Below are 26,215 nucleotides of genomic sequence, written 5' to 3' on the forward strand. Positions count from 1 at the left end.
TTTACAGGGATAAGCACCTGTTGTTAGAAGCAGTGTTTTAAATCAGACACAGAGAAAAAATTTAAGGCACAAATGAATTATTCACTCTAAATGATACACAGAACTGGTTGTAAATTGTAATTTAACAGGTTGTTTTTCTTGAAACATGCTAGGTCTGTTAACTCCTTCATTTAAGAAGGGACTGAGCACTACTGGAAGCTTTTGTGTATTTCGTTGGGTGTCAACTGATTCCATTTCATTCCTAGTTAGGTCTATCAGGCTGCCTACATTTTGACATTTCTAGCTTTTATTTCATTTATACTTGAAGCGAATTCACTTGAAAATGACAATATTTTTATTTAAATACCTGAGCAAGTTTACCTTTTTCCTGGATTAGCACAAAGTAGGTCATAACAAAAGCATTAATAATTGAACAGCATCAAGTTTGAAGGGATGCCAAGGATTAAACAGCCAGGTTTCTTCTTTTTTCCAATGTAATGTTTGTTTAGTAACAGGATTTTACTTGGGTAGTGTATTTGTGTGATTTATAGTTTATTAATAGCAGTTTTTGGTTCTTTTACCTTTTTCTTTCCTGGAAGTGTGGGTTTTGTGTGCGTTTTCTGCACGGAGTACAGGTTTGCTGTGGTTTGGGGATTTGGAAATAACGGCATTGAAACAACTGGACTGAGACCACCATTCTAATTTCACTTCAGGCCTTTCTCACATCAGTGGTCAGAATGATTTTTTAGTCACTCCAGTCAGGACTTGAATCCAACTGTAGTCTCAGGAGTGAAAAGTCAAGGGGTAATCCATTTAGCCATCCAATTCTCCAGGTAGAACTTTGATAACCATTATAATTACTTTATTCTCTCCTCCCTTATCCAAGAATTGCTATACTAAATGTTATATCTGAATCCCCGCTGTGATTCATGTTTTCTAGGATTTAAAATTATGGAAATTCTTCAGGCAGAAAATGGGCACATATGGTTATCACAGAAAAGCTGTTTTAAAGCCAGTTTTAAGGTAAGCCGCTGAGATTTTTGCAGAGTTAAAACACTTGGCCTGTCCCTGCAGCTGGAAAAGCGCCATTCCCTCGGACAGTGTTAACTATGAGTTGAGTCAATTTCCAGTTCCTCAAAATTGGAACTAATCCTGTCCTGTTTTCTCTGTCCAAAATGGACAGGATCCGAAATAAGGAAAAATTAGGCCTTTCCATTTTATCTTAACTCATATTCACAACTAAAACTTTTGTTATTTTTCCCTATAAGATAAGTTTTTCCTTATGACATAAAATGTTTATGTTGGGATAATTGGAGAACTCTATTAAGCATCATGATAGCTTATTTATGTAAGAGTGGATTTGGTCATAATTCCATCCCTTAAGTGGTTTTAGTTTTTATGTGTTGCATTTCTTTGTAAAATCATTATGAAGGTTCTGGAAGAAATGATTAGTGAGGAAGGATCATATTTTAAGGTCTGTGTTTCATTCAGATTCCTGTAAAGTCTGTTGTTTTTTCTTTAGATTGAAAACTGACTTTACATTGACTCAGGGATCTAAGACAAAGCAGATAGTGTGTTTTTGCCTCTTTCTGTGAAGATGTCTGCTTTATGTATCCTTGCATTCACTATTAAGATTTAGAGACCCAGACCGGGCGTGGTGGCTCACGCCTGTAATCCCAGCATTCTGGGAGACCGAGGCGGGCGGATCACGAGGTCAGAAGATTGAGACCATCCTGACTAACACTGTGAAACCCCGTCTCTACTAAAAATACAAAAAATAATCCGGGCGTGTTGGGTGTCTGTAGTCCCAGCTACTCGGGAGGCTGAGGCAGGAGAATGGCGTGAACCCGGGAGGTGGAGCTTGCAGTCAGCCGAGATCGTGCCACTGCACTCCAGCCTGGGCGGCAGAGCGAGACTCCATCTAAAAAAAAAAAAAAAAAAAAAAAAAAAAAAAGATTTAGAACACAAATCAAATATCTGGATAATTAAATCCGTATTTAAAAGGCACACATAGATACTCAGTAAATGTTTTTTAAATGGATGAGAACTGCAAGTGAACTAATGGTATTTTAAGGTAAGGCACCTAGGCTGGAAGCGCTAATTTTATGACTTCTGCAAGGTATTGACTCTTAATTCCATCATGACTTGATATTGGCTGCCAAAATGATATATGTGCCTCATATCTTCTCACTAAACCACGTAATTTTTGTTTTAAAAAGCCAGCACAATCAAGAGACAGACAATTATATGAAAAGCATTTATTGATGAGAGGAGTAATGTACAATAAAAGAGCTGGTTAAATGTTTATGAAATGAAAGCCTGTTGTTTATTGAAAGATTCTTTTCTTCTTTTACTGGTTTCAGTTATTTGCAAGTTGACAAATTGTGATCAATACTCTGTTATTGGTCTGATAATTAATGGATGATGGCCTGTCTCTATGAATTGTAAATGATGGGTGCTAATTAACATTTGTTTTGATTACTTGGTATTTAGTTGTCAAAGACAGCTATTATAATGGCATAGGATGTTAGAAGAGGGTTTTTTGTTGTGGCTTTGATTGTTATCGGAAATGACTTTTTTGTGTGTGAAGAGATGCCTGATTCCTATTACTGCTCACTGTAATAGAACTATGGTAGTCTGAGAACTCATCTCAAAGCCCTAAGTATTACTAATGAATTGTAACTGTGACCTCTCAGCTTCAAGAGAGAGAGGGAAAGGATCTGTAATCAAGGGTGGAGATGGTGAGATTTCTGAATAGAAACTAAATGTGCTAAATGTAATTGATTGATATATCTCTGATTTAATCAAAATTTAAGGAATAGTGTGAAGTTTTTAAAGTTTCAGAGATCGTATCATCTATTTTACTATTTTTTTTTTTTACATCAGTCTATTCTTTTCCATTCAAGGAGGGAGTTTCACTGGGATTTTAAGACAGGCAGTTATCTGTAAATCCAGAGTCACCATTGTAGACTTGATGTATTTTTTAGAAAAACCAGATAGTTGACGTGTTTTTCAAGTTTGAAACTTCCTTATTTGTTTTCATATGTTCAAGGAGTACTACAATTAATTGGAAAGTGTGTCAACTCTGGATTTAGACAGGCTTGGCTTCAAATCCTAGCTTCAAAACCTGCTCTTTCTCAGTGCAACCTTGAGCATCATTTTAAAGGCTCTTTTCTCATCTGTAAAATGTGACTAATATTATATGTCTAGGTGGGTAGCTGTGAGGATTCATGAGATCATGTGTATTAAGGTCCTACCATAATACTTGGCACAGTTAAGAGACTGGAGGCAGGTTGGCTGTCTCCAAATCTAGGCTGTGCCACCTGCTAGCAGTGTGACATCAGGCAGATTATGCAACGTTTGTGTGTCTCTGTTTCCTCATCAGTAAAGTGAAGATAGTAGTATTATCAATCTCATTCAGTGTTGTTGCACAGACTAAGCGAGTTGATAATGTAAGGTACAAAGAACGATGCCTGCCACATAGTATGTGTTATGTGTGAAGTGTTTGCTGTAATTAGTAGTATAATGATAATAAGTTCTCAAGAAATCATAGCCATTTTACATCCTTTAATTCTTTTCTTTAAAATACTGTCAAAACTTTCTCCCTAATTTGATATGTAATGTTTGAAATATCATAAATCGAGAAAAGTCTTGCTTTCCATAATGATAATTTGTACAATTATATATAACTTATACAGATAATTTACACAGACTACATTCATTGAACAGCTACTAAGTGCAGCGTAACTCAGGAGAGTGAACATATGGACTTAGATGGGCACAGGGAAGCAAGAGATTACTATATACATGTACCAACTATTTACATAGACTTTCTTGAGAGCATGTTCTGATGGGCTTGGGCATTGGGGATGATAGTTCACAAGGCCATTTCAGATAGGCTGAAATTTTGATATTTTGACCAAGGAAAACCTAGGTATATTATATTCAAAAACGAATCTTTAAGCATGTATCTTAGCATTTAGTCTCAAAACTGGATTTCTCTTCTGTGACTTAGTTTTCATTCTTCAAGGGGCCATGATTTCCCTTGAAGATGCAAATTTTAATCTGGGGCATTGATTTAATATTGCTAACAGATAAATACTAGATGTGTTTGGAGGTATTTATATTTATTCATATTAACTACAGAATACATACCAGCCTTATTTGGGTTTTGACTTCTTTATGATTATAGTAGTGTTATTAAAAAACAAAGATAAATCAACATTTCAGTACAAATGAAAATGAGGAGATTGATTTATGATTGGGTTAACTTTGCAATGCATGTATATTATGTACATGCATATTATGTATATTATATACATTATAGTGTATTATATGTTACATATGTGTTATACTATACATACATATATAGTAATGTATTTTTTTATCAGGTTTTTTTATAATTGACAGCATGTCCCTCCCATCCTCGGGAAGGGTGAGTTTTCAGTTCCCCCTTCACCGTGCTTTTTCACTATGATTTCACTGGGCAACACTTAATTAAACTTCATTTCCTCTTTTTATGCTCCAGGTATTATTATGCCGCTACCTTCAAGAAGTAATTTGCGTGCTGTTTATTGGAGCTGTGAATTTAATCATCTCAATCCCACGCTATTACAGGATGACTATAAGAAGATGTATTGACATTTCTTTGGACACATAATTTTGCCTCCATTGTGTGTTGTTTTGCCAGAATACTGAAGGCAGTGTTTGTATGATGGCACATCCAAATAAAAAGCAGGTCCTCCTTTTGGGACAGTGATCCATTTAAGTTATTTGTTTCAGTACATATCCTTAGAACTGAAGTTTTAAAATAAGAATAATCCTGGAAAAGATGTTTAAAGTACCACAAAGTATAGGCTTGGAAAGGAAACAAAGATTGAGGGCTTTTTTTTTTTTTTTTTTTTTTTTTTTTGCCCCTGGGCTGGAATAGAGTGGAGTATTAAACATCCCAATTCTCCCAACCAGCCTCTCCCATGTTATATATATATATATTACATACACATGCACACGTTTCAAATTTCAGTCTTACAGTGTATATAAATGTATATACTTATGTTTTCTGCACAAGCCAGGACATCGGTTATTTCCTAATCTAGTCTCCAGAAGAGAAAAAAGAAAAACATACAGAAAGGAATGTATAAGTTACGGAGGATAAAGAGAGGGGTTATGATATGATCAAAACAATAACAGTTAAGATCTTTTGAGATTTTATTATTGTAACCAGTAATCAGCTGCTCACCACTCAGAGACCAAAAACATGAGAAGCAAGGCATGGTGAAAGGAAAGGAAGGCAACTTTATTGATCAAATGCTAGCAGATGGGAGATGGCCGGGCTTCTGCCTCAAAGAAGCCATCTCTGCCTTTTGGGCTGAGTGAAGGGGTTTTGGCAGGAAAAGGTATGGGAAATATATGGTAGTGGTGCAGGAAGGCGCAGGTCTGCATGTCTAGTTCCGATGTTTATCTTGAGTAATTGCCTGTTGGGTTGGTGTCATCCTGACTTGGGCCGGAGAGTGGTGAGCTAACTATTCGTACTCCTTCTAAGCGGGAGGATTCTGCCACTTGGTTTCTTTACCTGTTTCGTTTCAAAATTGGTCTCTGGAATTTCTAAGCAAGCACATAATCAGATAAGCAAGCACTGTGCGCAGAAGTTCCTGGTGTGAAAGGGAGAAATTAAGAGTTTCAAAGTATGTTTCAAGGTTGAAAGCAAGAAAGGAGAAAAATGTTTTCAAATGCATGTTGAGGCTGGAATACTTGGCTTCATTATGAGCTTGTTATTCTACATATTTTATATAAACTAGTGATTGTAGTTTTGAATATTTTCATAGCAGAGGGTGGAGTAATTGACATAGGGGCCTGAAAAATGCATCCAGATGTCTATCTGCAGGTTTTACAAACTCAGAGTTCACAAGGCTCAAACAAGGTAATGCCTGGGATGAAAAACCATAAACTGAGCTCAGAGACCTGTCTGGCCACCCCTGACTGTGGCTGACTGCCCACAGTTGGTACAGCTTCCAAGTTTTAAAGAGAAGCCATTAATCTGGATATTTATATGTGAAATCTCTTGATTTTGAATTTCTGGGAAATAATTCAAAACCTTTTCCTTGACATATTATGAAAAGCACACCACACACCCCCACCCACGAGCAGACCTCATCCTGTGGGCCACCTGCCAGTTTAAGAGAATTACAAAGTCAGCCTGGAGCCTGTGAGAAAACCCGGAGGGGCAAACTGAGATCCTTGGTGGTTTCATCAGTGGTTTCCTCGGGAGATCACCTGACCATTTAAAAGCTCTGCCTGTCTAGGATGGTGTTGGGGAAAAAGCATCACAGTAATCAAGACAGGTTTCCCTTCAGACAGAGCAGGGCAGTGTTTCTAGTTCTGTTTTCCTTGAGCCTAGTCAAACATGCACAAATCCAAAACTTGAGTGACTCTGCGCTACTAAAGCCCTGGATCCTAGTTTTATTTTTTGCCAAAGAATATTTGAATAGCAACTGACTTAATACACTATAAATAGTATCAATTTTTGGCCAAGCACAGTGGCTCACACCTGTAATCCTAGCACCTTGGGAGGCGCAGGCCGGAAGACCATTTGAGCCCAGGAGTTTGAGACCAGCCGGGCAACATAGTGAGACTTCATTTCTACCAAAAATAAAAACAAAATTAGCCAGGCGTAGTGGCATGTGCCTGTAGTCCCAGCTGCTTGGGAAGCTGAGGTGGGAAGATTGCCTGAGCCCAGGAGGTCAAGGCTGCAATGATCAGAGATCTCACCACTGCACTCCAGCCTGGGCCACAGAGTGAGACCCTGTCTCAACACAAAAACAAAAATAGTACCAATTTTTTAGATCAATGGAAAGAGATTTTTAGTACTGTCATTCTTTTTTCTGGAAAAAGAGAAAATGGGTGATTTACTAATCAAATAGATGCAAAGTCATTTTTGAATAGGCAGTTATTTATGTTTGTTATTCACATTAATTAGATACATTATTTTAAATTATTTATACTTGTTAATTTTATTTGTATTTTCTTATTTTATTTTATTTTATTTTTCCTAGATGGAGGCTTGCTCTGTCACCCAGGCTGGAGTGCAGCGGCATGATATCAGCTCACTGCAACCTCTGCCTCCCGGGTTCAAGCAATTCTCCTGTCTCAGCCCCCCAAATAGCTGGGACTATAGGCACATGCCACCACGCCCGGCCAATTTTTGTATTTTTAGTAGAGACAGAGTTTCACCATGTTGGCCAGGCTGATCTCTAACTCCTGATGTCGTGATCTGCCTGTCTCAGCCTCCCAAAGTGCTGGGATTGCAGGCATGAGCCACCACACCCGACCATTTATACTATTTTAAATTATTTACATTATCCATTATTACATTAAAGTATTTACATTTATTACATTATGACTTGCTTCATTTTTAAACTATTCCTTTGTCATGCAACGCTGCCTCTTTAAAATAAGTAAGCTACCCAGAGATACGCATCAGGAACAATAGGATGGTTCTCTACTGCTCAAATATCTGGGGGTGAGAGCTACACATGAGTATTTTGAAAAAGATTCCTATGTGATATAAAAGTGCCTTTCTGAAGATAACACTAGGCCAGATGAGCTTTAGGCTGTGTTTGAATTGATCTCCCACTACATTTCTTTCTTAAACCTAAATTTCACCACAAGTTACTTACGCATAGGATTCCAATGTGAACAGGTGCTTCATTTTAGCTAAAACAGAACTTCCTTTCAGTGAAGACATGTGCCTCCACTCCCTGTCTGTGGCACGGTGGGCTGACATTTTTGGATCACAGATCACACAGGCCTAACCTTGCCATACTATTCCTTCACCTTTCTGGAATTCAGCTCTTGCTTCAGAATATATTATCAGATGTACAAATGAAAGCAGGAAAAACGAGGCCATTCTTAAAATGCTCCTTTTTCCCTATATACCTAGTTGAATTTTTTAAATAAAAGAAATAGAAATATATAAATAAGTAAACAAGATCAAATGAATTGCATAATGTACCATGTGACCCTCCCTGTCTATATGGGAATTTTAGAATCAAGGCTAAACATACACACGAAGCTTCATTAACTTCTGACCAATCCTCTGTCTTGTTGTTTCCTAGTTAACTGCCAAAGCAGTTGGCATTACTAGGAGAAACCTGACATGACCTGAATATACAGGCTGGGATTCAAAATTGACTGTGTTAAGTGTGCTGTTTAATTTTTAAAACAAGAGACTTTTTCTTCAGGTATACATTCAAGTATTCACCATGGAATGGCGCCTCTGGTATTGTGTCTCAGGTACTTCTTGAAAGGCAAGTTAATCATGGGTTGGGTCAAAGTCCTGGTTTTACAGTAAGACATATGGACATTAGATCTACTAGAGGTAAAGACATGAAACCTTAGTTTTCAAACCAGGGGTTTGAGAAACCCAAGAATGAGCTCCCCAGAGGAAACATTTTTCTTTGCTGGGGGTCTCCAGACCGTGCCAAGTTCCTGAAGCCGTTGACATACAATGACCCTTGAACAAGCCACCCCCTCCCAGGATTCTTTGTTGCCCTGGGGGGTCTTTGATGAGATAATCATTTAAAATTTTCTTGAATTTCACATTTGTTTGCCGAGGGTCTAGGGGTTTTACTGAATTGAGCAATTACTTCAGCATGTAACATGTTGGTTTTATTAGTACTAGCATATTCTGAACTGTTGAAGTGTATCTGTTTTCAAAATATGTTGCATGCGGATTAACATAAAAAGGCAAACAGAAACAGTGCTTTCCCGTGAATGCTGGTTTTGAATGACGAGTGTGTTTGCTGTCCATGATGAAGTGCGTATGTGTTGTTGGCAGGTATCCCATGCGCCGTTTCCAAGGGTAGGAACAGTACGAGGCTTCTGATCACAACCCCACAGAAGGGAAAGTGGTTGAGTAAGAACCTTGAATATATGGAAAAACAGGTTGAGTGTGGTCTGAACCTGAGGGTAGTGTGTTACCACGAAACACAATTCTTCTTCGGGTGTGTGTGCATGGGGCCCTCCTTCTCTGCTCTTTTCTTTCACATTTTCAAAGCTCATCATGCTGCCATTTCTTTGAAGAGGTTTAGTAAGAACCTTGAATATATGGAAAAACATATTTCTTATTAGGCACCTCAAAACTAGGTCCCACCCACGTCTATTTCCCCTCTGCGTGTTTATATAAGAAATAAATAAAAAGTTTCATGATTTCTAGTTTGCAACCCATATTCAACATGCAAAGACTGACAATATTGTTGAAATATCTAAAACCTAAGAAATTATTTTAGTCAGTGACCATGGCCTGTTTGTGTCATCAATATCCTTTTAAAAAAATATGAGTTTTATATGTGCAAAAATGTAATAACAACAAAATTGTGGTAGTATTATGAAACAGTTGCAGGCTGGTTTTGTCTGGCCTAAGTCGTCTTTTGCCCTGTGCATGTTCACTAGTGTGTGTGTGTTTGTGTGTGTGTGTTGTGTGTGTTTGTGTCTGTGCTTTTTTTCCTTTACATGCAGTGGAAGTTGCCTGCTATGGGCCTCTGAGTCGCTTTGGGTGTTTGATTGTTGAATTGAAATGATTCTTTCCCTTGTACTGCAGAAATAACCAATAATAATCTTCGCGTGACCTGCGTGTTTTAAGAAAATTATCCTGGGGCTATCCTGGTAGGATATACGTACCATGCTGTTTCTGTGATATATAAAATTATTATCAGATGAAAACAAAAAATCATATCAGGAAAACATTTCATTCCTTATTTTAGAGCTAGAATGGACTTTGACTTTTCTTCATGCTTATTTATCTGAGAAAGCATTAGGTAGACTCTGAAGGAGGCATTTGCCTTTCTCCATGGGCTGAAGGGGGCAGTACTCTATCCAGTTAAGAACTAACGAAGTTGGACAGTTGGACATTGGAATGTAACAGAGGCTTCCCGAAGATTAAGATAATGAAGTTTCTCCTTGATCACCTCTGCAGGGTTTTCTAAAGGACAAATGAGCAACTAAAAATGATTTTCCCTCTTCAGGAAGGAATTAACTTCTTATTTATTATTTTCCTAAAGAAAAATTAGAAGTAGAAAAATAATAAATGATTAATTTTACTTGTTGTACATAGAGGCTATCATTGTGTGGTGCTCTCTTTATATGTGAAAGTGTATTTGAAATAAATCTTAAAATGTGGAGGTACAAGAAGGTGATTGTTCTCTAAATTGCTGTATTACTGTAAAACTAAATTTGAAGGGAATTTTTAAAGAACACCATATATTCCATTATTTTGACAACCCATCAATTTATGAAAGTAATCTGAGCACATACTTCAATTTATTAGAGATAATTGTTCTGGGAATGCTAACACCCAAGCTCAGTAAGATCAATAATAAATTTGTACCTGAATTTGGGGTTATGGTTTAACTTTAATCCAGTCCATTTACTCCTCAACTAGGCCGGGCGCAGTGGCTCACGCTTGTAATCCCAGCACTTTGGGAGGCTGAGGCAGCCGGATTACAAGGTCAGAAAATCAAGACCATCCTGGCTAACATGGTGAAACTCCGTCTCTGCTAAAAATACAAAAAATCAGCCAGGCGCGAGGGCGCCTGTAGTCCCAGCTACTCAGGGAGCTGAGGCAGGAGAATGGCGTGAACCCGGAAGGCGGAGCTTGCAGTGAGCCGAGATCGTGCCACTGCACTCCAGCCTGGGCAACAGAGCGAGACTCTGTCTCAAAAAAAAAAAAAAAGTTGTAACTACTCCTCAACTATTCACATACTATAGATTGTTTGTATTAAATATATTAAATAGGAAATTTATCTTCTAAAGTTCACTCATTTTATTTGAAGCAAATGCATATAATTTTAACTGATACTGTCTGCTTTTTCATCTCTTGAATGTCTTAACACAATATTTTATGTATTTTTATCAGATGACAATTGTTATCTCTTTAATTAATCCAGTTAACCCATCCTGCAATTAATTCACAATAGGCATTTTAGTTGTGACTCAAAGTCCCCACTTAGTAAATGTTAATTCATAAGTAATATTCATAACTGAATGCTGGAGAAAAACTGCCCAAAGATTTGGGACTTAATAGAGTCTGTCTACAGCATTCTTAACTGGCGTGGTTTATTATAAGGTGAAATTTATAAAAAGGGATTTCACAGTTAGCCCTTGAAATGGCTTTCTGGGTGGGGTTCATGTTTAGTGTTTATTAAATGCTCACTGTATATCAAGAAAGCAGAGAGGCTTAATACCCTGCTCAGAGTCACGTAACTAATGTATGGAATAGTCAAACTCAAAACCCAAGTCCAGTGCCTTTTCAGCTGTACAGCACTGACTGCAAAAATGGTTAGATCAAGTGAACATTTAATATTCTTTCAATCTTAGTTTCTAAATAGAGCTGTCTGCCTATTTACTAGCTGTGTGACCTTAGGTAAGTTACTTAACCTCTCTGAGTCTTAGACATCACATCTGTAAAAAGAAGATAATATTATTATGGTAATTAAATGAACTAATATTTGTGAAGAAATGAGAATAGTTCCTGAGACATAGTAAATGCTAAATACATACTTATCTAAGTAAAATAAATATAACTATTTCTCAAGTAAACTTTTTATACAAGGATAAAAGTGTAACAAATGTTAAGCAGAAAATTACTCTTGAGCTAAAGAAAGGAAAGTAGAATTGCTTATACTGAAAGAGAAATGATTTTTATATAGCTCACAGGATTCTGTGAGAAATTGTATCGGTGAAAACAAATGACCTAGTTTCTTCGACCAAAAAAACTACAAGGGAGAAACAAGGAAGGAAAAGGGGAAGGCTGTGGATTAAAAGAAACCCAGGCTGGGCGCGGTGGCTCATGCCTGTAATCCCAGCACTTTGGGAGGCCAAGGCGGGCGGATCACCTGAGGTCAGGAGTTTGAGACCAGCCTGGCCAACATGGTGAAAACCTGTCTCTACTAAGAATACAAAATTTAGCTGGGTGTAGTGGCACGTGCCTGTAATCCCTGCTACTTGGGAAGCTGAGGCAGGAGAATCACTTGAACCTGGAAGGCAGAGGTTGCAGTGAGCTGAGATCACACCACTGCACTCCAGCCTGGGCAACAGAGTAAGACTCTGTCTCACAATAAATAAATAAATAAATAAATAAGTAAGTAAAAGAGACCCAGCAATCACCGGGTGTGAGGTTTACTTGGATCCTACCCTAACTAAACTGTAACAAGAACAATTATAAGATGGTAGAGAAGTAGAGACGTCAATTGTATATTTGATAATATCAAGCAGTTACCATTAAAATTTTTAAGTGTGATAATAGTATTCTTGTGATTTTTAAAAACAAAATTCCTCTATTTTAGAGCTATATACACAAATATTTACAAATGAAATTACGCCTAGAATTTGATCAAAATAACTGTGTGTGCCTGTGTGTGTGTGAGTGTGACTATAGATGAAATAAGATTGTTCATGAGTGTCAAAATTGAAGCTGGGAGATGGGTATGTGAAGATTCAGTCTGCCATTCTTTCTATAATACTTTTCTATATGTTTGAAAATTTCCATAGTGAAAAAAAATTTAATGGAAAAAAATGTCTTTACTGGAAAAACTATTCTCAGAGTTCTTAACAATGATATCTGATATTTACAGAGTGCTTTAGATGAATTGTCTCAATCTTTACAACAACTTGATGAGGTAGGTCCGATTATTATACCCGTTTAACAGATGATAATATGGGCCCAATCTTTGCTCTTCAGCAGTCTGTTTTCCAGAGGGGATAGATGTATGCATCAGACAAATCTGCTCCTGAGAACTGCTGTCCATCCAGAGTGGGTAAACCAGGAGAGTGCCATTCTCACAAACAGTGTTTTCACAAAGTGCACACTGTCCAGGTGCATTACATGTTAATTACACCCATCTTGTGTCTCACTAGTGATTTAGGAGAGTAGGCCAGGCATTGTGAAAAGCTCCTGTACTAGCTGTGTGCCTCTGGGAAGGTTTCTTTCTTTCTTTTTTTTTTTTTTTTTTTGAAACAGGATTTCCCTCTATCACCCCGGCTGGACTATGGTGATGGGAACAAGGCTTACCGCAGCCTCCACCTCACAGGCTCATTACAGGCATGCACCACCACGCCTGGCTAATTTTGGTATTTTTAATAGAGACGGGGTTTCACTATCTTGGCCAGGCTGGTCTCGAACTCCTGGCCTCAAGTCATCTGCGCTTCTCGGCCTCCCAGGGTGCTGGGATTACAGGCGTGAGCCACCATATCCAGCCAGCAAGTTACTTTCTTTATCTGAGCTTCATTTCGCCTGTAAAAATTACTATTTCCATCCCTGTTTCACTGGATGGTTGTGAGGATGAGTAGTTTGAAGACAGAGACCCTTGAAGGGATCAGACGAAGAAGCTCACTCCTCTGGATCCTCGGTGCTGGGCACAGAATGAATGTTTAGAACTGTGTCTTTCATGACTGCCTCCCTCCCTTCCTCCTCTTTTGAGTGGAGTGAAAAATTTGAAGCTGTCTCCTGGGCTGCTCAGACTCCCTGAGGCCTTGGTGTCCTGTATTCAGGGATGGCTGCGAATGAGTACAACAGTGTAGGTGAAGTGACCTGGGACTTCCTTGCTACTCTGTTGTGTGTTGATTGCACACACTCATGCTAGATTATTTCTAAGGCCTTAGTGGTTCAAGTTTACAGATTTTATGGTACTTACTTTCCACTTCACTTTCATGTACTTTGTCAAGGAGAGTAATCTGTAGACTAGAAATGCCAAAATAATTAGAGTTAAAGAGGAAATCCAAGATGAGAAAGCAGTGTGAGAGAGCATACAAATTTAGTTAAAATGAGGTCAAAGGATACTGAAAAGGCTTACAGATATGTCTTCATAGCCAGTCCGATGTCTTCAAGAAACTATCATGGAAGGTCTCAGAAGACATTTAAGGAACCAAAAGTGGGCAGAGGTGGATTTCAAAAACTATGGGTTGGTACTCAATATGCACAGTGGTAGCCTGGAATACAAGGACTAGTACGTTTTACTAAACATCTCGAACGTAAAGCAGGGGTCACTAGGCGGCAGCCTGGATTTGCCAAAAATAAGGCATGCAAAAGTAGGCTCATTTTCTTTATGATGGGGTTGAGACTAGGTCATGGGCTGCAACACATGTAACTCTATCAGGATTTCAGGCGTTTAAGTAACACACCCCCTCAATCTACCCGTGAGGACCATGTTCAGTAACAGTCACAGGCTGTTAAATATCATGTCAAAAGAAAGGCCTGCTCTTCTCCTCTGGGTACCAGTGTTTTAGAGGGATGCTGACACTAAAGGTGATGTCAAGTTTGGAAATTAGGAAGTAGTTGAATGGGTCAGGGATGTTTGCTGGAAGAAAAGAATCCCTGTGGGACATGTGAGCACTGTCTCACAACATTTGAATATGAGGAAAAAGAGGTGTTTCCTTATCTATGTTTTTTGGGAAGTGCTACCGCAGGGATTGCTAGGACAACAGTGAAAAACATGGCTGGAAGTTCTGTGAGGCTGAAGTGAGTGGTCTAGGCCCTGAGGGACTGGCCCTGCAAATGGAGGGGCAGGATGTTGTTCAGGGCATGAAGGCAACAAGGTTGCTGCTGAATTAAATGGGGATGGTGAAGATGGGGGCAAACACTGTTTTGACTTCACTCAATTGAATATGATCTCTTCTAAATTTTGACTTATACCATTCTTGTAGTAATTTTGCCAAGCCGTGATTTTTTAAAACCTGTCTTTTTGTTTTTTGAGACGGGGTCTCTATCACTGAGGCTGGAGCACAGTGGCACAATCTCAGTTCACTGCAACCTCTGCCTCCCTGGCTCAAGCAATCTTTCCACCTCAGCCTCCCGTGTAGCTGGGACCACAGGCACGCGCTACCACGCCCGGCTAATTTTTTTTGTATTTTTAGTAGAGACTGGGTTTCACCATGTTCCCTAGGCCGATAAACCTGTTTTATTATCTTTATTTATCAGCCATTTGAAGGTAGAAACTCTGTTCTATTCCTTCTTGAATTCTTATAGCTGCTGCGTTGGTTGTCTTTAGTATTTTCCATTAATTTTAATACCATTTTCTGTCATTTTCAAATAGCTATTAAGTTTCCAAAAGTAATTGTTTTTTTCTGAGAAGACAAAAACCAAAGGAATCATGCTTGGATTTTGGAAAATATATCTCTCCCTACATGTTGGTGGGAACAATTCTGGCCCTTCTGACTTAGTCACAGTAGACAAGTTGTTCTTTATATATAGAGGGCAAAACCTCACTCATCAAGCCAAAGTTTCTCACCAACTCAGTTGAATACAACATGTAATTACTTAAGAGTATTATATTTTCACCTTGGTAAGTGTTCAAAAATTGCAGATTTATCCCAATTATCAAGTCTGGTTGGGAAGAGCCTTTGAAATGGAGTCCACCATGTAATGGGGGAAAAGATGTCCCTTACTCAAGGAGACCAGTCTCTTGGTATGTGTGTGGTGGAAGGGACAGACTGTGGCACATTCATCGTTCAGGAGCACAGGTCATTTGGATTAGAATCAGATTCTACCGCTAACCAGTTATCTGACCTTGGGCAAGTTACTTAAACTCTGTGCCTTAGTCTCCTCACCTGTGCCAAGGAAATAGTAATAATGCCCACCGCATATGGTGGTTGTAATGTTTGAATGACTTCTTGTATATACATACTTAGAGCAGTACATGGGTGGTAAGTACTACATAAGTGATTTTTATCATCATTATTATGCATAAGGCCAATCCAGTGGAGAAAATTTACTTGGAAAAAGAATAAAGAAAGACTAATTGTTCTCCTTCACCTCTTTGGTTCCTCTTCTGGTTTGACAGTGGGGCCACAGTTTCACTTGGAGAGAAAAAAGGGATGTATGAAAAAGAGAGAGAAGAGGAGAAAGAAAGGAAGGGAAAGATGACAGCTGATATCATGCTGTTGTTCATTTCTACCAGGAAATGAAGTCCATTGCATTGATGGACAGTAATTCCCTAAAAAAGCAAATTCTGGAGTTAATACAAACAGCCATTGGGTCATTATTATAAATTTCACTTCTGAAGCATTCAGCCAATGATAGAACCAACCCTATATATGGGTTGAACCAACCTGAATGACCCCCATAATCAGTAGTTTGATCTGGCAGTACAATTAAGTCAATGGATGCCTACTAAGGTACTCTCCGTTTATTGACTCTTGTTGATTTAAAGGCTAAGGGCCTTCTCTCTAAGTTGCATTTTGGTTAATGACATTTAATGATATTTTCATGCTAATAACCTCAACTTGCTGACATCTTGAGATGTATTTCTTTGGCTTCTATATTATAACTTTCTTTGGCTACCCAAGTTTTTGATAGGAAATGTTGTCTGTTACTGAATATTTTTTTGTTTTGTTTTTTTTTTTTTTTGAGACAGAGTCTTGATTTGTTGCCCAGGCTGGAGTACAGTGGTGTGATCTTGGCTCACTGCAACCACCACCTCCTAGTTTCAAGCGATTCTCCTGCCTCAGCCTCCCAAGTAGCTGGGATTACAGGTGCCCACCACTATGCCTGGCTAATTTTTGTATTTTTAGTAGAGATACGGTTTCACCATGTTGGCAAAGCTGGTCTTGAACTCCTGACCTCGTGGTCCACCCACCTTGGCCTCCCAGAGTGCTGGGATTACAGGTGTGAGCCGCTGTGCCCAACCTGTTAGTAATAATTTGTTGGGAGAGAAACCATCCTATAAATGTGTGGAGGACTCTTGTTGGGGATGATGTCATATTATAAGTTTTCAGTAAATATAGGTTGAATGAATAAAGGAGTACGAATCATTTCAAGCAGTTTATACCAAACCATTTGATGGAATATGACCGGGTTAGAGTGTATGATAGATGTGAATGGCAAAGAAGCCAGAGGAACCTTGAGTTGTATTCAGAGGATATATTGACTCTGAAGATAAAGGGTAGAAGAGTTAAGAGGGCATCTTGGTATTCATTTGGCACAATTAATGTGAAGAAAATTGTAACCTCCAAAAATAGAAAAGTGATTTATTCCATTCTGTTACTAAAGTAGTGTGTATATGCGCATGCGAGTGTGGTTCTAGATGTATATATACATAAAAAGCAATGAAATGAGATTTTTCTTAAATAAAACCCGCTTATTTTCATCACTGTACAAATTGTTGTCATTCAGACTTTTGATAAATTATTTCCTTTTCTCTTTCTTATTCCTTATCTGCTGAATGCATATCACACCCCTCATGAGCCAGAAACTGGTTTATTATATGATATAAAATATATCAAGGTTATTGGCACATATGGGAGCTTTCCTGTAGGAGACATAGAATTATGTGTTTTATAGAACTTCTAGAAAACACAGCCTCTACCTGCTTAGAATTTACATTTGAACATATTGAGAGATAGGTATTGTCTTAAGCAAAACCATCGCTTGACTCTAAGTGTCAACATGCATAAATAGCATATGAAATCTGCTTTAAATCACAGATGAGGTCATTGAAAATGTGCATCTTTTTAGATGAATGCAAATACAGGACAGAATTTCCTGAAAATAATGTATTTCACTTAGTTGGCTCCATATTCCCAATCTGGGTTATTATGTTATCAATTTATCCTAGTAACTCTCTTTTTCAATTAATTATTTAATGTGTGTTTTTGTGTCTATATGTATTCATCTATTTTTGTTCCAGTGCCACATGTCTCCTGACTTTTCTTCCTCAGAGTAAAAATGCAAGGATCCGTTGCTTCTCTCTCTTCCTCTCCTGTGACCTCCCTTGCACACATTGCTTTAGACCAGGCTTCTCACAGTTTGATGAGGCTCAGGATAATGGGAGAAGGAAGGCAGCTGTTCAAACACAGATGACTGGGCCCGGCACAGTGGCTAACGCCTGTAATCCCAGCACTTTGGGAGGCCAAGGCGGTGGATCACTAGAGGCCAGGAGTTTGAGACTACCCTGGCCAACCTGGTGAAACCCCATCTACTAAACATACAAAATTTAGCCAGGTGTGGTGGCACATGCATGTAGTCCCAGCTACTTGGGAGGCTGAGGCAAGAGAATAGCTTGAACCCGGGAGGCAAATGTTGCAGTGAGCTGAGATCGGGCCACTGCACTCCAGCCTGGTGACATTGCAAGACTCCATCTCAAAATGAACAAACAAACAAACAAAACACTATGGATGGCTGGACTCCACACCCAGCCCTAGATTATGACAAAGTAGATCTGAGAAGTTGCATTGCTGACAGAGTTCTGGGTGCTGCTGCTGCTGGGCAGATGACCACATCATGGCTCCAACGACACATCTCCTTTCTGCTCCTGGAACACACCAGACTTGTCCCATCTCAGGGCCTTTGCACTGGCTATTTCTTCTTCTTGGAAAGTTCTCTTGTCGAGACCCTTCAGGTTTTTTCTTAAATGTTATTTTCTCATGAGGGCTTCTTTGGTTGCTGAAGTTAGAATTGCAACTCCCCCTTGCTCTACAATACTTCCCACCCTCTTTCCTTGCTCTTTTTATCTTTCACCCGTTTAACATGTTATATAGTTTATTTATGTGTAGTGTTTTTTTTTCCATCTGTCTCCCTAGTAAAACGTAAGCAACGGAAGTGTAGGAATTGTCTATATTTGGTTGCTTTCTTGTTGTATCCTCAGCACCTTGAACAGTTCCTGGTACATAGTAAGCCTCAGCAAGCACTTGTTGAAGGAGTGAATGACAGATTCACTAAGAGTTTACAACAGGGATCCAAAAGAATTATTGCAACCACAAAATAGGGTTCAGTCAGTGATGGTTATAATTAATGCATGCCGAAGGCTCGTAGTTCTCTAGGGGTTTGCAGAAAATGTTTACTTTTCGGGAATTTATATCCTGAAAGACATGAAATTATTAACCCCCGTAAAAAAATGGATCAAACCAGATGACACTAATCACACGATTGAGGCCTGTTCTTGTACTAGGTGCAAAAGAGTTGAGTTTCTGCTGGTGAGACGCTAACTCTCTTCTTCTTAGGACCTTTCTTTATTCTTTTTTTGGATTAAAGAATAATACTTGTGGAAATATTCTTTTTTTTCAGAAGAGATCTGAACTGATTTACAGGAAATACAAACGTATATAATAAATAGAAGATGGTACATAAATAATTATATGAAAATCTGGTAATATAGTAATAACTAGTAATAGAAACTCTCATCATATATTAAATATCAATTGATTATATCTCATTGTAGCATTCTATCAGAACCTTGAAAACAGTTACATCCCTGGCTCCATGCTTTTAATTCTTTGATAAAATTGAATATAATATATTTGTAGAGCAGAGAATCTTTGTGTACATGTGTATGTCAGTATTATTCCTCATTATCTCTATGGTAAAATGGAAGATATAAGCATCTTGTTCTTGAAGTCTGAATTTATAATCTTGATATGTCCCTCTGACAAGTGCAAAATCTTACTCATATCACCTCTGCCTTTAAAAATAAACTGTTGTCTTTATCAAAAACAACAGAGAAACACCAGGCCTCAAATAACGCAATCGTGTTTCATTGTGATACCAGTTCTCAGTCTTCCTTAGGTATTTTTCTAACTCTTGAAGTTTAAAACCTAATAATAGGAATTTTTATTCATGTTTTATATATTTATGAATTTTTCAATATACATACTGTCACAATGGAAATTTTTGGAAAGCAGAAAGAACTGTTAATTATTCCATCGTCATTTGCAGTAATCTCCCACAAACCCTTTTCTGGTATTGATAGAGATATTTTTCAAGGCTTGCAAGTAATAATTATAGTATTGAAAAAATGACAGTTTGTGTGTACTCACTGTGAGCTGTGTACTTTTACTGGAAACATGCAAATTAGGGCTCATGGAAGGCTGCATAATAGCCTCTAATTATGTCATATTTCCCTGAAATTGTATTATATTTACATATTCTGGAACTGAGGATGACACCATAGAGGGTCCTCTCATGGCACACTTATGGAATCTGACCTCATGGTGGCTCAGTTAAGGCAGGAATGAACACAGAAAGCTATGCTAACTAGAGACTTCAGCACTCTGCACTTAAGCATTTCCGAAAAGAAATATGTTAGAAGCAATTTGAAGCATGTTGGAATTTGTTTGGAATCCAGATTTCTGCTTTTAGAGCTACTTACTGTATACTTAAGGAGTTCTCATACAATTGGAAGCAATTTGTGGGTGACTGCATTTATTTTTGCCTTATTGCCCTAGAGCAGTAAACTGTCAGACTACAACAGAATTGGAATGTGATGCTTGTTTCATATGATTTTACAAGGAGTATGACCGATTTCACTTTGACAAAGAAACATAACAGTCAATGCATTTGCTTAAATATTAACACTGTTATCAGTGTTGATTCCGACATTCAGAAAGCCAATGCTGCTTTCCTTTGCTGCAGCCATGATTTAAACATGCATTCACTGGGAAGTGCAGAGTTCATGGGAGGCAGGCCCTGTCCAGGAGTAGAGGAATTTGTTGGACTTTTATACAGTGCTTATCATGTCACAGGCATACATTGAATGGGAAAACACCACACACACAGACGCCCCTACTCATAGTTGTAACTGCTTTGCTATCATTAGTACAATATTTTCATTTTATTTCACTTCATTCTCATTAGTACAACATTAACATTTGTGGGTACATAGTAGGTGTACATATTTTATGGGGTACATGCGATGTTTTGATACAGGCATGCAATGTAAAATAAGCATATCATGGAGAATGGGATAGGTATCCGTCCCCTCAAGTATTTATCCTTTGAGTTACAAACAATCCAATTACACTCTTTAAGTCATTTTAAAGTGTACAATTAAGTTATGATGGACTAAAGTCACCCTGTTGTGCTATCAAATAACAGGTCCTATTCATTCTACTTTTTTGGTACCCGTGAACCATCCCCACCTTCCCCCCAGCCCCTCACCACCCTTCCCAGCCTCTGTAACCATCTTTCTACTCTCTATGTCCATGAGTTCAACAGTTTTAATTTCTAGATCCCACAAATAAGTGAGAACATATTTGTCTTTTTGTGCCTGGCTTATTTCACTTAATATTGTGATCTCCAGTTCCATCCATGTTGTTGCAAATGACAGCATCTATTTCTTTTTATGGCTGAATAGTACTCCATTGTGTATATGTACCACATTTCCTTTATTCATCTGCTGATGGACACTCAGGATGCTTCCTGATCTTAGGTATTGTAAACAGTGCTTCAACAAACATGAAAATATAGATGTCTCTCCGATATACTGATTTCTTTTCTTTTGGGTATATACCCAGCAGTGGGATTACTGGGTCATATGGTAGCTCAGTATTCAGGTTTCTGAGGAAACTCCAAAGTATTTTCCATAGTGGCTGTACTCATTTATATTCCCACCAACAGTGTACGAGGGTTCCCTTTCCTCCACATCCTCACCAGCATTTATTATTGCTTGTCTTTTGAATATAAGCCATTTTAACTGGGGTGAGCTGATACCTCATTGTAGTTTTGATTTGCATTTCTCATTGATGACTAATGATGTTGATCACTTTTTATGTGCCTGTTTGCCATTTGTATGTCTTTTTTTTTTTTTTTTGAGAAATGTCTACTCAAATCTTTTACCCATTTTTGGATCAGATTATTAGATTTTTTCCTATAGAGTTTTTTGAGCTCCTTATGTATTCTGGTTATTAATCCTTTGTCAGATGGGTAGTTTGAAAATATTTTCTCCCATTCTGTGGGTTATCTACTCACTTTCTGGATTGTATCCTTTGCTGTGCAGAAGCTTTTGAACTTGATGGGATCTTATTTGTCCATTTTTGCTTTGGTTGCCTGTGCTTGTGGAGTATTCCTCAAGAAATCTTTGACCAGACCAATGTCCTGGAGATTTTCCCCGATGTTTTCTTGTATTAGTTTCATAGTGTGAAGTCTTAGATTTAAGTCTTTAATCTATTTTGATTGATTTTTGTATATGGCAAGAGATAGGGGTCTAGTTTCATTCTTCTGCATATGGATATCCAGTTTTCCCAGCACCATTTATTGATGAGACAGTCTTTTCCCTGGTATATGTCCTGGACACCTTTATAAAAAATGAGTTTACTGTCAGTGTATGGATTTGTTTCTGGGTTCTCTATTCTGTTCCATTGGTCTATGTGTCTATTTTTATGCCAGTACCATGCTGTTTTGATTACTATAGCTCTGTAGTATAATTTGAAGTCAGGTACTGTGATTCTCTCAGTTTTATTCTTTTCGCTTAGGATAACTTTGGCTATCCTGGGTCTTTTGTGGTTCCACATAAATTTTAGGATTTTTTTTTCTATTTCTGAAGAATGTCACTGGTATTTTGATAGGGATTACATTGAATCTATAGATTGCTTTGGGTAGTATGGACATTTTAACAATATTGATTCTTCCAATTCATGAACATGGAATATTTTTTATTTTTTGGTGTTCTCTTCAATTTCTTTCACCGGTGTTTTATGGTTTTCATTATAGAGATCTTCCACTTCTTTGGCTAAGTTAATTTCTAGGTATTTAATTTTATGCGTGGCTATAGTAAATGGTATTACTTTTTAATTTCTTTTTTAGTACAGTATTTTTAGTGTTCAAGAATATAGTTAAGGAGTACAAAAGCAATCTTCAGCATAAAAGCTGAAGTTGTCATATATGGCAGCCACTGTCAATGGTACTCATATTGATGTGTCTCTTTTTTTCTAGAAAGTGGGAAAATGTAAAACTGCTTGTCTAGTGCATTTTCTGTACAGATATGAAAGTCAAACCATTATCTTCTAACTGTGCAATTCAACTATATCATCCTCACTTCCTCCATTATGGAAAAGGCCTGCTTGGGTCAGTGGTATTTAAGCCAAGGCTTTCCCACTACTAATACTAATTTCATGCAGTTCCAGATTTGGGGAATATAACTTAACCTAGACGAGTTGAAGATCATTGTAGCAACTCTTATTGAATGCAGGCTGTATACAGAACATCTCATTTTGCCAGGGACCATGGAGAGCCATAAGAGGAAATACAGTGCTTCTTCAGAGTTCATAATTAAACTGTAAAAAGGGGGCTAATATAAATAAAGACTTTTAATTATAGAATATATGTTAAGTTACTGACTTCTAAAATAACATTGAACACAAATGAATGCTTTTCATTTCAAAGTAGACTCCTTGCACAGACAATATAAACTTATAACAAGGCCATTTCTCAAGAGCATTTTAGAACCTATATTACGTTTTTTAGTATTCTCAAAGGAGGATAATGCATGTCATTTGCCAGAATTTTGGAAAGAATCAAAAACCATTTGTAGGCATGTCTGATGAGTGAGATCTACAATCAGAAAGCTGAACGTCAAGTTTGAAAAAAACAAAAACCATGTTTGCAGTCAAAGAGTTGCTGTAATAAAGAAGACCACCATTAGTCTTAGTCAGCATATTTGTGTCATATAAGATTCCTTGAGTATTTGACATATACTAAAACTGATTTGGGCTATTAATACAATACGCAGCATACACAGAAATCAAGATTTGCTACTTCAACAAAACCAGATAGCAAAAAAAGAAATCTTGGTGTTCAAATCAAATTATAATTTGATTTGGATCCTGGGGATGTTGGAGTTTTCTAGTAAATACATTAAGCATTTTGCATCTAGATTATGTTACAGGAAATTTTAAAAACGTTTAAAAAGTGGTTTTTAAGGTACTTTTTTTGGAAGACTAAAGAAAATGACCCATCTGAATGTTTTCTTTTGTTACCTAAAATGCACAGCATAATTTTTGTAGAAATTTTTCTTGCAACATAGTTACTTTCAGAACAAATCAAATTAGTTTTAATTTTACCATTTAGGAGTCATTTGATTTTGAGCTTAGATTCCTTATCTGTAAATAGAGAAGGCGAGACTGAATTGACATTAATGTCCTTATCAACCCTGCGCTCGCGCAGTTATTTGTTCCTTCCTTTAGTGTAAGTCTGTAGCCACCATTTGTGTCTTAATTAAATGATCTAAATCTTTAATGTTTTCACCATTTTTATGAATGAATCTCAGAGACTGATCTGATAGTCGTGTCGTGTAGCAACATAAACATCTTCCACAACCTTTAAAAAGTTTGTTGGCATTAAAATTGTGGCTTTCAACATCCTTTCATTCCCAGAGGCTTATTTTAGCATGTCAAGTGGATGTGTTGAAGATTTATCACATAGAACTCCACATTAATTTTTTACTTTAAGTGATCACCCATTTTTGTTCCGACATAAAGCAATATTCACTGCAGCTGTTAGCATATGACAGTTGACTGGCTGAACTTGGAAATACTGCTGCTGCTCGTTGAAACATGCTGCCATAGATTCTTGCTGCAATGTGATTGCTCTTCTGTCTTCACAAGTTATTCAAGAAGAAAATTAGTCTCATTTCTTTACGGAGACACTTTGCATAAACATGCAGTCATCATTGATCTACAAATCATATAAAGTTAAATGTAATCAATTATAGTTATATATAAGTATTCAGGGTGCTACTATAGGGGTGTCTTTGCTGCCAATGGCTGCAAGGGGTTGACAACATCATTTCAGGGACCCTCATTCATTTGCAGCTGGGATTCCTTGATCTAAGAATGGACTGACATGTTTTTATGAGTATAAATACTCACAGATGTCCTCATTCTTTCTGAGCAGTTTGGATGCCATTTTGAGACCAGTTAGAACCCCTTCCCACTCTATTTGGTTAAGAGACAGAATTATGTCACATATAAGCCAACACTGGTTTAATCCAAAAGTCATTTATACATTTGGCATCAGTTCTGGTACTTCAGTTTTCTGCTAGTGTTTGTATCATAGCAATAGATTCCCTTTAAGAGTGATAGGTGTCTGTGGATGTGTTTAAGGAAGCAATGTTTAAATGCACTGAGAGGAACTGTGCTCACTTAGAAGAAATGAGTCATCAAAGTTGGGAATTTTTTAATCCTTGGAAATTTTAAGGGTTTTTATTTTTCTATTTACTAATTAAGGATATTTTGGAAACTTAATTTTTTTGGTCAAATAAAATAGGTAAATGGTATTTCCCCTTTCCAATCTTAACATCGGTTCTACCTAAGAGAGTGACTTCTTTAACTTGTTTAACACTAACCTTTAAAAAAATCAGTAAACAAAGCAGCATTGCAAGCCTAGTGAGTTTTTCATTCAACTGAATGAAATCATATGTAAATTACTGGTTTAGACAGTGTTTGCTTCTATGATTTGTTGTTTAGGAAAAGTTGTATGCACCACAGCACAGCCACAGCCTGGGTTGTGCCTACTTTGAGAAACCTTACTGGGTGACAGAATGGGGTAACAGAGCCATAATTTATAGTCACTAATATGAAGATGTTATATCAATTACTTAGGAAAAAATACCCCACTGGATTTATATCCTTTAGTTATTAAAAAGTGGCAGCTATCTTAAATTAGCTAAAGAAACTAAAGAATTTAGCGACAGAAATTAATCACTGTCATGATCCATACACAGACTCTGAGTTGCAGCACTCTACAAAACATTTGTTTGGAAAAGGAAAATTGCTATTATGGTCACCTTAATAGAAACAGACAATCAAACAAATCTTAATTTAAAAGATTGCATGTGGTCATAAATCATAATGGCACAGAGATTTAAGGCACAAAAAGCAACTTCATAAAGAAATGAGGCATGCCAGGGAGAGCCAGCAACCATGGCTGGTGCCGTCCTGTCTGCCCATCCTATCAGTGATGTTGCAAATGTTTTGATATTTCAGCACTGAGCTGGATTGTTCATTTTGCAGTAAAATGCAACAGTCTCCTAATCTGTTTTCTTGCCACTGGCTTTCTAATCTTCTTTAACCAATTCTCTACCCAGCAAGTGGAAGAAGGAGAGCCTTAAAATGGAAATCGAGTCAGGGCATACCTTCTCCCCAGTCAAAATCATCAGCATCTTTTACTTGCAGTTGGGATTAAATCCAACTCCATGAAGTGATCTGACCTCACTTCCTGGGCTCCAGCACACCGGCCTGCTTCGGTTCCTTCCCTCCTCCTGTTGGGGGTACTCTGAAAGAAGTACTTCGGGCTACTCTGAAAGAAGGGTACTCTGTAAGAATGGGGGGTACTCTAAAAGAAGGTCATCTTAATGTTTACTCTGCATTGGATGTAATCCATTATTTCTAATACTTTTAGTTTCACTCGAGCTGAGTCACAAAAACCAAAAAACAAAACCTAAACAAACAACAAAACCTCCTTAAGAGAGGAATG

The 26,215-nt window shown here is 37.7% G+C and overlaps 1 protein-coding gene and 1 long non-coding RNA gene across 2 annotated transcripts in view; one reads left to right on the plus strand and one right to left on the minus strand.

Moving 5' to 3' along the window:
• SAMD5 (sterile alpha motif domain containing 5) overlaps positions 1-26,215 on the plus strand; it is a 445,991-nt gene that overhangs the window by 224,120 nt on the left and 195,656 nt on the right. The gene's annotated exons all lie outside the window — the stretch shown is intronic.
• Positions 8,625-10,488, minus strand: LOC105378044 (uncharacterized). Its single transcript, XR_943098.3, has 2 exons — positions 10,364-10,488; positions 8,625-9,075 (listed from the first exon to the last, which is right to left on the minus strand). It is a non-coding gene; the product is annotated as an uncharacterized LOC105378044 (long non-coding RNA).

The sequence above is a fragment of the Homo sapiens genome, chromosome 6 (genome assembly GCF_000001405.40).
Source record: "Homo sapiens chromosome 6, GRCh38.p14 Primary Assembly".
Taxonomy (NCBI): domain Eukaryota; kingdom Metazoa; phylum Chordata; class Mammalia; order Primates; family Hominidae; genus Homo; species Homo sapiens.